Genomic DNA, 14,917 nt, shown 5'->3' on the forward strand with positions numbered 1-14,917 from the left:
CGTTCTAAGTTAGTTCACACCTCCGTACCAATACTGAATGTTGAAAATGTTAACGTTGCCCATTTTTGTTACTGATTTTTAAAAATATTTACCCAATATTGCATGTTTGCTCACTGTATTTTGCTTTATAAAATAAGGACTTCCTCAGTTGATCTTCTTATTCCAATAATTAAACAAAATAATAACTTCCTATTGATAGCACTTTCTTCTGAAATGTTGGTGTTAAACACAGAAAACTTTTCCCATGCAAATACAGTTAAAGGATATTATTGTATCTGGTATCAGGAAGAATTCTAGGAGAAGAAAGCCTGATTCCCAATAAGGTTTTTATCAATCACCAATAAAGTAAGTAGGGTGATTCTTCGGGGTACACAGATGGGGTTTCTTTAGCATGGTAACTGTCATTTCGAAAACTAGAGATATCATCTGCTTCTTGGCGGCAGTTTCTCTCCATGTTACTTGTAATTATTATGTCCCTATTGTGATTCATTAGAGAAGTGGCCAATATATTTAGACATGCTACTGGATGGTATGGTGGGAAGACTACATTAGGTATCAGATGGTTTATAACTCAGCTTTGAAATCACTGAGTTAGACTAATATGTTTCACGAGCTAAATAATTATTCATTACGGACTGAGTAAACCATCTTGGCTCTGACCTCCTCTTCCATTGACTTGCTGGGCTGTAGAAAGGACCCCAACTAGCTAACAGGGTCCCCTTGTATGAAGACACTGTGTCTTCAGTGAGTATTAGGGACCGCTTCATGCTGCTCTTCACACCACTTAAAAACAGTGGCCACACGCGATCATTCCTTAGCCAGAGTAATTCCAAGGAAACCAAAAAGATCTCACCTGCTAAATATTTATTATTTAAAAAGTTTATGCCTGAAAAGAAACCGCGGTTCTTACACTCGAATGCACAAAGAAGTGAAATCCAGTGTATTGAATTGGGGAACAGAATACGTTATTTAATAGTAAATGGCATTTCACAGTTCTCTGCTTGCTTACCCACATCAAATACAAACCGTTTGGGCATATCTAGAGGCTCTTCTGTCTGGTTAAAGAAGACAACATGAAAAACTATGAATTCTGGCCAATATGTACATGCACACCAGCAGGTTAGCGACATTTTTTTAAATCTTGGGACTTTGAATATTTGGAGCTCTGTATTTGTGGAGCTGACTCTGTGATCTTTTGTGAGCTATATTCAGATTCACAGAGCAAATAAATGAGTTTCAGCTTTTACACATTATGTAGGTATATATGGGTCTCCGGCTTCTCATTTGGGTGGTTTATTGTCCCTCATTCAAGCTTTTCAATTTCAGAATGAGCTTCTGAACCATTTCTTTATAATGAACTTAACTCAGTGCCCATGGCAAACCCACGACTCCCACTGACATCAGTTCTCATGCTGTAGGAGTGCCTCAGAGAAGGGATCCCCGAAGAGGAAAGACAGGCAATGTGAACAGCGCATGTGCTACGCCTAAGCCTATTTCAAGTTCAAAACTGTATACCAAAAGCACAAATAATGCAGGAAAACGCAATGATAATTATTCATTAATTAGAAAAGATATCATTAATTAGAAAAGTTATGCCCATTCTTGTTGACACTGACTCCTATTATTTAAACAGCCTGGCTGCAGTGCCATGCTGTGTTCTCCTTACAAAAGTGACCACTGCAATCGCTTCTAATGTTAGAAGAATTATAGAGGTTATCGGCTGGGCACGGCGGCTCACATCTGTAATCCCAGCACTTTGGGAGGCTGAGGTGGGCGGATCACATGAGGTCAGGAGTTCAAGACCAGCCTGGCCAACATGGTGAAACCCTGTCTCTACTAGAAATACAAAAATTAGCCGGGCGTGGTGGCACTCACCTATAATCCCAGCTACTCGGGAGGCTGAGGCAGGAGAATCGCTTGAACCCGGGAGGCAGATGTTGCAGTGAGCCAAGATCACGCCACTGCACTCCAGCCTGGGTGAAAAGAGTGAGGCTCCATCCCAAAAAAAAGAAGAAGAATTAGAGAGGTGTCTTCCACAGGACAAAACTGAGAGGATATCCTTTCCTTTGATAAGCATCTGCCATCCAACCCTAAAAACTGAAACACTGAACCTTGCATCATTGTTATTTCTGCCAAAAACTGCATTAAAAACTGAGCAGCCCACTTTATAAGTATATATGTATACACACACACACACTTATACACACACACATATATATCTTAAAATGGTGCTCAGCCACCTGCTTTATTTTCCTTTTCCTTTTTCTTTCTTCATGAAAGAAAACATTTAGGAGTTTAAGAATGATTTGCAAGAGAGTTTATCAGCAGATCACTTAAAATCATGGGAAAATTCTATTTTTGATAGAATTTTAAATATTTGATTTAGTAGAATCAAATAGTTTATTTCTATTTTTGATGTTTTGTTTAATTGCTTAATAATTTTTGCTTTAAATTATTAACCAAAACGTGTATTTCCAGGGACATCAATAAAAAAATGCATAGGCAAGTTTCTAAAGTGACTGCTGTACATTTCAAGCATTAACCTGAACACTATGAAGGCAATACTTTTATTAATACTTGATCTATTCCAATTACCTTCTGCAGTCTAGTTTTTAAAAATCATTAGTTCTGCCCAGGTTTCAAAGGAGAAAAGGAACTGGGGAAAGAGTATGTTGTTCAGATTACTCAAAAAATTGCACAAAAAATAAAAACAGATTAGTCAGATTTTCTCAGTTCATCGGCTGTGTCCCTGGAGTGTGTTGATAGTTGCAAGGTTGAATTAACTCTTTCAGGGTGTTCCATTTGGCAAGTCAATATTCCGGATGTGCTAACTTGTTCCATAACGGTTCAAGAGTAAATGCAGCTTCCACAAGTGTCCAGTTTCCTCTTTAAACTCGTTCTGCAACTGTCTAGATTAGATGATTTGATGGCCTCATATCTGTGTGCATCATCAGCTTCCCTTACACGGTGATTGTCAGATATTTACCCTAACACTAAGCTGTGTACACCAGCCATTTAAAACGATTGATAATAAAGCAATAAGTTTACACATGGACGATCAGTGCAAGAGAACTTTTCATGTTTTACAATCACAGAACTGAAGATTGACAAATGAGTGTTTTCTGGAGACTTTGCAGCATCTGTGGCTCATTCCTCTGACAATAAAATAAAAGCAATGCCAGCAGCTCTCACTCCTGGATCCCGTAACTCCTCAGCCTCCCAGGAAGGTGTTCAGCACAGAGAAAGTCCCTGGCCTATGTTTCAGGATCCTAGAGTGGTGTCAGAATATCTTGAGGCTGCAAATGCAGAACCAGTGTGGACACTGCACTTCTCTTTGGAGCTCTCTCTGGGTTGGGGAAGGCAGTCTATGAAGGAGATAGATAGGATGGTTGGGGATACTATCATCTACATGCTTCAAGTCACCCTAACTCCTCACTTAGCTACACCGCCCTCCCCTACCCCATCATCACCACTACCACTTCTCGTAAACACACGTACTGATGATATACTTCAAAAAAGATTTCCTAGACTTCAAGTTCATCCCAAAGTTTGGTGAAGCCATGGTTCTTCAAGAGAGACCCCCCACAACTTCTAGAAAATATTGATGTAAAGAAATACTCCTTTGTAGCGCTCTCTAAAAACTACTTTTTGTTCTCTTTAAGTGTATTTTAAGAGTGTAGGTCCGATATAACTTAAGATTTTCCCATGACTGGGCTTTTTAATAAAAAACTGTATAAAAAGCAAAGGCTGAAAAACTTATAGTGTATTTTAAAGTAGTTAATTGATTAAGCATTTAAAGAATGTAAGTCAAGCATCAGCTAGAAGAAAGATGTCATTCTGTTTCAAACTCAAGAAAAGATGGGGGCGGGCGCGGTGGCTCACACCTGTAATCCCAACAACACTTTGGGAGGCTGAGGCGGGCGGATCACGACGTCAGGAGATCGAGACCATCCTAGCTAACACGGTGAAACCCCATCTCTACTAAAAATACAAAAAATTAGCTGGGCGTGGTGGCGGGCATCTGTAGTCCCAGCTACTCGGGAGGCTGAGGCAGGAGAATGGCGTGAACCCAGGAGTTGGAGCTTGCAGTGAGCCCAGATCGTGCCAGCCTGGGCGACAGAGTGAGACTCCGTCTCAAAAAAAAAAAGAAACGATGGAACCAAGTTCTAATAAAGGCAAGCATAAGCCTTGCCAAAATTAGAAGAAAGTACTCATTTATAGAGGATGATGTTTTTAAGCTAGGTCAGTTAGCGTTATAGTAATAAAAGAAAGGTTACAGGAACCTTATATCTGGAGGAGCAGAATGTGAGTGTCTAAATGCATCAGACTATTCCTAGAGAAGTCAAAAAATATTCAGGATGACTAAACCTCAAACCTTTAAACCCTCAAGGAAGGTCAGAATGGGTTTATGCAGTGGTTATTTATAATTTAGAGCTAGTGAGAAATGTTATGCCCAGGAATTTATCTTTATGTTCATATCGGTGTATCCATATCCAATGAAAGATTAGCTCATTCACCCCTTACTAATTTAATAAAGATTTCTAGTTTTTTAACTTAATGTTTAAAGTGTACCCCATTCTCCTTAACACAAACAATTAACCACAAGCATAGGTAATCCCATATGGGACTGGTCCAGGCAACACCAGCCTCTGAGGAAGCACAGTTTCCAAAAGCAGCTATGCCACCTAAAAGAAAATGAAAGTCTTTTCCATGCTACATTGCAAAGGCAAACAGATTGACAAATTATTAAATTATTTCAAACCTCTTAGGTTTTGATAAGGTGGGAAGTTTTCTGTGCTTTTTGATCATCAAGCATTTCCTGTTTAGCCCGTAATTTCCTGGCATTCATTCATTCACTCATGTGCTCATTCATTCAGTAAGAATTTATTATGTGCCAGCTACTGGCCTTAGGTGCTGGAGGATGCAGAGCTAGATGACACATTCCCTGCTCTCAAGGAGCTCAGAGTCCACTGGGAGAGAAAGACAAGTAAACAGTGATAAGAATGGTAAGTGCTAAGATAGTTGTTCGACAGGCCGTGGAGGTACAGAGGAGGATCATCTAAATCCGATTGAGAACTGGGGACAGGATGAGGCAAGAAAAACTTACCAAGGGAGGTAATTTTTAAGATCAGTGTTGCAAGTTGTGAATAAAGGCTACCCAGAAGAGAGAGAAAGAGACTGCTAGGCCAGAGGAAAGCATTTACCCAGGAGCAGAACGTGGCAGGCTTTGGAAAGAACACACAGCTCAGAATGACAGGAGCATCGAATGTGTGTGGGGAGGAGGGAGATAAGATGAAACCAGGGAGGGAGATGGTGCCTCTGCGCAAGTAGGGCTTGCACCGCTACGTGAAGAGCTGGACTGCGTGGATCTTCCCTCCGGGGTAGGCGGGACTCTGTTCAAGGAGTTTAACAGGGACAGCAACATAGCCAATCTGGTGACAATGTAAGGATAGATTTAAGGTAGAAAAGTAGGTTAGGAAAGGAAAGGTAGGAGGCAGTAGAGGTCAGTCAGTCATTAGGACATGAAATGTAACTTGCTGTCTGAATGTAAGAGGTAAGGGCAAAAGAGGATCAAGGATGAGTTTCCTTTTTCCCAACTTAGGTGACTAGTGGACACGGAGATACGGGGAAGAATTGTAGGTTGATCAACAAAAGATGAGTTCCGATTCGTAAATTATGACTTTGAGAGTACCATGGCACAGTCTAGCATGTGATTAAAAAAAAATGTCTGATTGGAACTTAGAGGACAATTCCAAAGATGTGGACACGAGAGCTATTGAGAGAGCCGAAGCTATAAGTGTGAATAAAATCATATTGAAAGGGAACATAGAAGATCTGGTGACAAGTGGAAAAAAAGAAGGTGCAAATATGTGAGTTTACAGACTGGAGTTTCCTGTGGCTTCATAATAAAAGACAACAGCTGTGTTAATACTGAAGGATCCACTTTCTCCTACTGGATACTCTATCCCTAATTTTTTGAAATCTTCAAATCTGTGTCTTCCCTTGTATTTTGCATCACTTTCTGTATTTGATCTTCTTTCTTTGCTCCCTTTTGCTCCTTAACTGCCCAAATGTGGCCATTCCTCTGCCTCCCCTTACTTCTTGCACTTTGCTCAATGTTCATTTTCTCTCTTAAAGCTTGTGAGTAGGTAACATCTTAGTCTCCATATTCTCTCATCTTAGGCTTTTTTTCCTTACCCTTCCTCCTTACTCACCTCCGTTTCCCAAGTCATTGACACTCATGAGATGAAACTAAAAACCTGGGTTCCGGTCGCGATTGTGTCGCTTACTCCTAACTGCATGACTGTGAGAGTCAGAGCCCCTGTCTGGATTTTCCTGTCCTCACCTGTAACATGAAAGGCTCCTTAGTAATTAAAAATCACTTCCTATTCACAAGAAAATATGTGATTTTTACCATTTCCTTCCAACTTCTCATAGGCCCCTGTCAAGGTGTATTCCAAAAGAAATAACACTTAACAAAAGTTACCAAATTTCCTCTGCTAAAACAGTTATGCATATTGCATATTGCATTTCGGTCAAACTAGTATCTTATATGTTATGTTGGTGGTAGAAATAGCAATTTATAGTAATAAATAGAATTTTCTCTTTCCAAATGTGCCACCTACTTTTTAAAAATCTTTCCCACTTACTAGAAGCCTGGCACAGCCCTCCTTGTCCTCGCTCAGTGCCAGGGTGTGGGGTCTGTGTACGGCTGAACAGGCACCAGGATACAAGGAGAACAAAAGAGAAGGAGGGGTTTGTCCTCTGAGCACTTCCAGACCCATGGAATAAATCCAGGAGGATGAGGGCATGCACAGTTCTGTTTTACAGATTCTTTGGAGCAAAAATTTTCCTCGCCATCAGCTGTCTAGGAGGTCTCCATTTCAAGACCAGATAGCTAAACAAATAAGCTGTATCCTACCCATGTCAGCCTTCCTCACTCGATAAACAATTTAAAAAAGAAAAAAAAAAGACAGACTGTCTTAAACATGATTCTTCTCTTAATGATGGCTAACCCAGAATCCTTCGAATCCCTAAGGGAACTAATTCTGGAATGCCCTGACTTGGATGGCTTTGTCTCAAGGCCTGTGAATTTCAGAGCTGGGCATTATCACTTTGTCAGTTCTCCCTGATGTGGTAATGACTATGAAAGGAAAGAGGCATTGGGTCACTATTTTTGAATTTGATTCTTGAAGAAAATGTCATTTCTGTGACCATCTATCACTATGCTCAGCGTTCAAAAGGGCTGGACCAGAGAGGAGTGGGGGAGGCTCTGCCCTTGTCTACATGCCTCTGAACTCATGTTAGCTGGGGGGTGTTTGAAAAAAAAAAGAATAGCAGCTTGACTGCAGACTGCTACCCTTTCTGGTTTTATGGAGCAAAGCACGGGTCAGAATTTGCCCCATCAGCAAGACCTCCTAATTAAATGCAGCAGCAACAAAGACATTCGCATTGGGGTTACCAACACCCACCCCATACAATTCTCACCCCTTTCTCATCAGGATCCCCTTAGCACCAAGACCAAACTCACGTAAAATAATACTTTCTTTTGTCTTCCTTCTTTTGCATTTTCCCTGCCATTTTTGATAATAGGTAGGTAGCAGGCAGGGGAGTATCAGGTGGTGCCATGATGTGGGCGTAGGCGACTGCTCTGTTTCCCTTGGTGATAGAAGCATTTTCTATCCAGAACCTGATTTTTGAGGATTTCTTACTACCTTGCTACAAATTATGATTTGTCTTTGAGATGATAATTGTTAAAATACATAAACCATAGGTTCCTTCTCAGAAGACTTACATGTAAAATCTTTCGCTGTTGCTGTTGCAAATCACATTATTGCCATTAAGATTCCGCATCAGCCCGCCGTTCCGGGTTCGCTGTTTGTGCACAAGTCCCTCCTCAGGAAGGACGATCAAGGAGTGATTTATGCCTACATGTTTAGTCATGACGGGGTTAGTAGTTGTGTTCCACTTCACCTCAACAACAGATACGAGGCTGTTACAAATTAGCAATGTGGGAAAAGTCTTGCGGTAACCGGTGACAAGATGGAGGGGATTGTTTGTTTTTGTTGTTGTTGGCCGTTAAACTATGGAAGGAAATTTGAGCCTACGCAACTCTGTTAGATGGAAGAAAAGATTCTCCCTCTGTATAAAATGTGTGTGTGTGTTTCTGGGTGGGTGTGTGTGTATATTACATACACACGTATATACACTACGTATACTATATATACACATCACACACATACACATTATAGTGAAAGTGGGAGAAAGATGGGTTAATTAAGTCCTTCATGTGAGTTCTTACTGGGATCCAAGTCTGAAAGCAAACCCGTGTAACCCACGAAGCAGCTCTCAAAAGCAGGCTAGCTCTGGGATGGCCCTGAGGAAGACCCGAGGAAGGCCCACTCATGAGGAAACTTGAACATTTATCCCATCTGGAGGCCTTCAGAATGAACCCAAACCAACATCTGCTGCTGTCTTGCCTGCCCAGAACAGGCTTGGTTTTGACCGGAGAAAGCAGTCACATTTCAGTGACTCTCACTCCGGCTTCCCTAGGTGAAAATGACAGAGGTGTGGGGAGGGCATTGCCGCCAGTATATACGTAACGACATATGCTGGTCTCGTGTTTGAGTCGGGCCAGTTCAGGGTCAGGCTGAATTCTGGACTGACAATCCACAGAAGGGATAAAGAGCACGTCACTCCGCAAAAGAGCCCACCTCCAGAGTTAGAATGACTTCTCTGCCCTGGTGTATGCGCTTCTCTAAAGCTGTGCTCTCATTTACACGTACTTTTCTCAAAAGCAGAAGATAATTTTAAAAACATAACCTTTGGTTAAAGAAGCCATTTTATGGGGAAGCACCAAAGACGATAAATACTCCTGTTGTCAAGTTGTAAAGAAAGTTTTCGAGAACTGCAAATTGTTTCCACTTGAATAAATTTGCAACATCAATAGGCTGTTGACATTGGGTTGGTAACAGTCTAAATCACTTGATTTTACTCTCAGATGAGCATCTACTGAAGATGTTTAAGTAGAAAGGTATTATAATCATGGTGTTTCAGATTGATTTGGTATCAGTGAATATGGGAAGAGGCAGATAGACCCATTTTAAAAGTCTAGGGAAGCTCTGGGAATAGAAAGATAAATATCTGAGAGACATTACCAAGGAAAAGGAGAAAGTTAGGAGCTTCACGTCAGGTTGAATATAGCATTCTCAGCTGAGAATGACTGAGGCTGTGATTCTCCGAGGCATTTGTCGATAATCCCACTACTTAGGAAACTTTAAAAAGAGATTTAAAAATATACCACAAAAGCTAAAACAGCAACTAGGCAAACATGCAATCCAAATTAAAGACCAACAAACAGATAAACATCAAATAAGGGCATCTCATCAGTGGAAGAGCGGTAGGTCACGGAGAGCCTGAGGAAGTTTGTCCTTTCCAGCGAGAGTCCTTTGTAAAGAGGGGTCAGGCAGGAGCAGGAAGGAATGTGCTGTGTTATGAATTTGAAACCATGAGGCTAAGGCCAGAGGAATGCAATGGGGGGCATGAAGTTGATGTTCTATTCAAATTCCCTGGAGCCTATTGCATTGTACATTCAAAAAGCTAATAAAGGAAAACTACCTCTCAAATCTATAAGCTGGGCAGGGCTAGTTCACCACTAAGGCCAAGCAACGTTCAGTTGAGTCACACAGTTGCAAATAAGCAAGAGAATCTGAATCCGCCCAGAGGCATATCTAGTTGTTGGAAAGGTCTTTTTAAGACCTGGAGTCAGAGTATTTCAGAGGCTAGCTGGACATTCGTGGGTGCATTGGTTTTCTTCTTTTGTGGAGGTAAAGAAGAGTTAGCCTGATGTTTATGGAAGTACCTGAGAGTCGTCTTTGAAGACATTTTCTTTCACTCCCTTAGTCAGAGTCCCCGGGTCATTTTTCTGATGTCTTTCCTTCATCTCGTTTTCATTTCTGTTGACATAGGTGCTAATCTGTGAAAAAGTTTTTACTCGTCCGCACTGAAATGAAAAAAAAAAAAATGATGTGGAGAATGTTTTCATCATAAAGCTTTATTCATTGCTTTTAAAGAGCAGTCCTAGGCCGGGCGTGGTGGCTCACGCCTGTAATCCCAGCACTTTGGGAGGCCGAGGCGGGAGGATCACGAGGTCAGGAGTTTGAGACCAGTCTGGCCAAGATGGTGAAACCCCGTCTCTACTAAAAATACACAAAAAAATTACAGAAACAGTGGCAGGCGCCTGTAATCCTAGCTACTCAGGAGGCTGCGGCAGGAGAATCGCTTGAACTTGGGAGGCGGAGGTTGCAGTGAGCCAAGATCGCACCACTGTACTCTAGCCTAGGCAACAGAGCAAGACTCTGTCTCAAAAAATAAATAAATACATAAATAAAGAACAGTCCTTTTGGCCGGGCGTGGTGGCTCACTCCTGTAATCTCAACACTTTAGGAGGCCGAGGCAGGTGGATCACCTGAGGACAGGAGTTTGAGACCAGCCTGACCAATATGGTGAAATCCCGTATCTACTAAAAAATACAAAAATTACCTGGGCGTGGTGGCGGGGGCCTCTAATCCTAGCTACTCAGGAGGCTGAGGGAGGAGGATTGCTTGAACCCAGGAGGCGGAGGTTGCAGTGAGCCGAGATCATGCCACTGCATTCCAGTCTGGGCGACAGAGTGAGACTTGTCTCGAAAAAAAAAAAAAAAAACAGTTCTTTTGAAAGAACTCACCCTACAGGTAGGTCCCGCCTCTCTTTGATATGTTTAAATGGCCTTATGAAACGATGGGAGTAACGGGTAGTAGTTTTTAATTTAAAAACCCTGTGTTGATCCCTGATTTTTTTCATGGTTTGTAAAATTGGCAAGTCAGGGAGCCACTCTCACCCCCACCTTAGGTTCCTCGTTAAAACCCCGCTTTCTTTAAACCTTCTTCAGCACCTCATGTTCTCCAGTGAGGAGATCCACCCAAGGCTCCCTTCCAGTATGACTCTGTGCTGGCCACTGTGCCTCAGCCGGGCCCCTGCACCCCGACACCTTCCTCCGCAGCCCTCCCAGCCCCACCCGGGCCCCTGCCTGACTGCCTGATCCCACAGTCTAGTTCACCACTAAGGCCAAGCAACATTCAGTTGAGCCACACAGTTGCAAATAAGCAGAGAATCTGCCCAGAGGCATATCTAGTTCTATTCCGGGACCTGGCCAGGTCCCCACCTGGGTGCAGCTCTTCCCCAGCTATGTCAGCGTGAACACATCTCCCCTTCTGCTCACTCTGGTGAGTGGTAGCCTCACAGGACACTCATTTGTAATAGTTAAATTGTCACGTATATGACCTCTGCTCACCCAGACTTCTCTGTTTTCACAATATCCTCACGCTTTAGCTTGCACGGAAAGGCTGTTCTGAAACTGTTGGGTGCCGGGTTAGATAGGAGCTCTGAGGACCCTGACACCGGAGCAGCCTTCCTTGTGCAAACACTTCAGCCCTGTTAGTGCCTGCACTTAGCTTCAGCTACTCCTTAGAAGGCACAAATTCAGAACTTCCAGGGCTAAACTGTTAAGCTGGGCCGCTAGGATCCCAGCTTAACCCTCTGTCATTCTAACTGTACTACCTACAAAGGTTACTTGTATTTTTATTTCCCAAAGAACCAAAGGCTAATAGGTGAGAGTCTGAACTTTCAGCTTCCTGGGCTGTATCTCCCTGTGCCGAGGATCCTGTGATATAGAATGCCTGCCCAGCAGGGAATGGAATGTGTGGTAAGCCAATGAAAGAGCAAAGTCAGAGGTTGCAGAAATGCTTTCTACAGGAGAAAGGTGAAGTTTCTGCTTCAGATTGAATGGGGCTAGAAAATATAAACCAGCAAAAGGGTCAAAAAAGGGCAGAGGAGAATGAATCAGCAAGCTGCTTGCAGGTGGTACAATCTATATAAAGCTAGAGTTCCCAGCTTTAAATCAGGCACTGTGATCTACAGGAGGGCTAGTGGGCCTGGGGTCAGCTGCACAAAAGTCCCAGTTATGGTCCAGTCAAGAGATAGCGTGAGAGCCAGATCAAATCAGCTAACCACGTCGTATTTTCATTTTCCGTCTCTGAAATGGGGGGGGGGGAAATAGTACAATACAGAATTCTCCTATGTAGAGGCATTCAAAAGGGCATTAATTTTTTTTAACCCGATAGCACGTTCTTCACATCATACCATGAGATGTGTAATCTGCTGCAAGACTTATGCCAAACTGAACGACAGAACTTTAGGCTGGTTTTGTCAATAATTCTGTAACTCTGCGCTGCTTGTTCTTAAATAAACCAGTGCGTGTTTGTTTCTTCAAGAGCAGTAATTTCTTCAAAAAAGCGATCACAGCAATAAACTCTGTTGGATTTCTTTCATTTATGCCTTCCTTTGCTAGGGGCGTTTGGGTTGGTGGGGAGGACATCTTCAGCTCTGCCTTTTGTGAGTCTAAACAATGATTCCACTTAATGGTGCATTGGCTTCCTCTGTGTCTCCATCCCTGGCTTCTCCCTCCTGAGTGCCCGTTCCTGCCGCTGGCTGAGCAGCGTGGCAGGTTGTCAGATCATGTCAGTCAAACCCATGATCTGACCGATACTGTCCCCACCGAATTAATGGGATCAGCTCATCACCGGGCACGGAACAGACCTCCGTCCCTCGCCTTCCTCCTCTCTTTCTTCCCTCTCTCTACTGTAACATTGTCCTGGCGGAGTCTTCTCTGTCTTTATCACCTAGAATCTTCTCCTGATGAACAACCACATTTTTCAAAATGAATGTTTCACGAAAAACCCCTATCATCTCATAAACAAGTGAAATTGAAAAAACAAACAAAACACCTCTATCCTTTTATTCCCAAATATCACTCAAGTACCTTTTTTACTCCTCACTCCTGTGTGGCCCCGTGTTTTCACCTACGATTATGATCCCCTGTCACTGTTTTCCTGCCCTGGTAACCTGTCTTTCTCTAACAGCATTGTTTCTCTGTTAGTTCTGTGTCTGGGCTTACTTCAAGTAGGATGTTGATTCAGGTCTCCATCTCACTGGGAACCTTCGATTAGTGAAGCAGTCTTAGAATCAATCTGAAATCCACCCTTTAGTATATTGTGGTCCCAAGGAAACTCCTAATTTCTCATCCAGATTTTTGCTTTTTTTTTTTTCTTTCTTCAGACGACACCATCATTTTTGAAATTTTCTCTGGTGCTGCCACAAATAGAAAAGTCACAAAAATTCAATTCTTCAGTCAAATGTTGTATCTATGATGCATATTTATGAGCACAGAACAGCTTTTAAAATGTATTTTAACACTCAAATTATAAGTTACTCTTGTATTTGTCTGCTAAAAAGAGTAAGTGTGTAAAAAAAAAACAAATAATCATTAAATGTCAGGAAATATTGCATCTCATTTCAGTGAACACAGTAAATCACCATGCAAGATATTCCCCATTCTTTCAATATCACTGTAGACAAGATGGGTTATCATCACCACTGCCAGCATTCAAGCTCTAATTTACCATTATGAAGTATGTCAATCACTGAGAAATAAGAAAGTCTTTAAAAGGTTCTTATTTTATTAATTTGTTGAAGATGTCTGAAGATACTAAAAGGATTTTTTACATATGCAAATACATACATGCACGTAAACATACTGTACTGTACTGCCACCGAGGGAGTAAGTCAGTAAATCTTTAAGAACTGATGTAACAGTGAATTAAATCTACTTTGTAGAAAATATGAAGGAATACTAAGGAATTTAATATCAGCAAACATGTTCCCTTTGAAACAGCAAATTAGATGTGCAGGAGGATTTTGGTCACACTTCAAAGAATCATGTGCTGAGATGGAGAGCTGGTCTGTTTACTCGTGTTCTCACCGGTGAGGTTTTTCTATGTTAAACGGGTTTTTGATTACTTCAAAGCATGTTTGAAGTCTTCACTCTGCATCGCTCATCCACGAAGACAAATAGTCCTCCAAATTTGTGCAACTAATATTGCTACACATTATATTTATAAGTCAGAAGAAACTGCAGTTTCCTATTTAACACCAAGTTAATGCCTCTTGTATTTAGCTATGACAGTGAAGGTCGTCTGACAAATGTTACGTTTCCAACTGGAGTGGTCACAAACCTGCATGGGGACATGGACAAGGCTATCACAGTGGACATTGAGTCATCTAGCCGAGAAGAAGATGTCAGCATCACTTCAAATCTGTCCTCGATCGATTCTTTCTACACCATGGTTCAAGGTAAACACGAAAGCATCATTTTAAACAAGTACCACCAGCACCCAGACAGAATGCGGCAACACCCACTTTCCAAGGTGAACCAGAAAAGGGAAGGTGAAAATGTAAACCTCTAGAAATATTGGTGACATAATCTACAGTGTACATGTAATATTTATTTACTTGTATAGACATATTTTAAAACCACATATAAGATAATCTGTCATCCTTGGAATAGTGTCTGTTTCCATTCCCATGTATTAAAACAACTTCATTCCAGCCCTTCACATGCATCATCAGGCGATTTTTGCATCACCTAAGAGTTTTCCAGAGCAGGTCTTCTGACCGCCATCTAAGTACAGTAGTTTGAGACACAGCACTTTTTGAGGCCATATGTGATGCAGTATTTTAATCTGCATGTCATGGAAATTTTATCCCAAATTCCAACTACACATTCATGTAATGCCTGGAGTGTCCATTTTTTCATTCCATCTATAGTCATATAGATGCCATATCTCCATAATGGACCCTCCTTGCCATATTCCTTTCTAAATTTGAAAAAGCCTGTCTACAATGACATTTGTAATTGTGAGTTCACAACTCTAAGAATAATTACTAAATCTGTATTCAACTTTTTGACTCATTTTTTTTACCTGTTCCATGAAGTAATCTCTAACCATCTAAAACTGCTATTGCTTGAATTCATTCCTTC

General features: G+C 41.7%; 1 protein-coding gene and 1 long non-coding RNA gene across 32 annotated transcripts in view; one reads left to right on the top strand and one right to left on the bottom strand.

Annotated features, from left to right (window-relative positions):
• The window catches only part of TENM3 (teneurin transmembrane protein 3), a 1,355,412-nt gene that overhangs the window by 1,311,806 nt on the left and 28,689 nt on the right, over nt 1–14,917 (top strand). For all 31 annotated transcript variants that reach the window (XM_017008385.2, XM_017008389.2, XM_017008390.2 and 28 more), the window contains one exon: nt 14,054–14,229. In XM_017008385.2, coding sequence (XP_016863874.1) covers nt 14,054–14,229 — 176 coding nt within the window. The remainder of the gene's footprint in view (nt 1–14,053; nt 14,230–14,917) is intronic.
• On the bottom strand, nt 2,217–7,972 carry LOC105377571 (uncharacterized). Its single transcript, XR_939528.3, has 3 exons — nt 7,796–7,972; nt 6,216–6,346; nt 2,217–3,365 (listed from the first exon to the last, which is right to left on the bottom strand). It is a non-coding gene; the product is annotated as an uncharacterized LOC105377571 (long non-coding RNA).

Source organism: Homo sapiens, chromosome 4 (assembly GCF_000001405.40).
Source record: "Homo sapiens chromosome 4, GRCh38.p14 Primary Assembly".
In the NCBI taxonomy this organism is placed as follows: domain Eukaryota; kingdom Metazoa; phylum Chordata; class Mammalia; order Primates; family Hominidae; genus Homo; species Homo sapiens.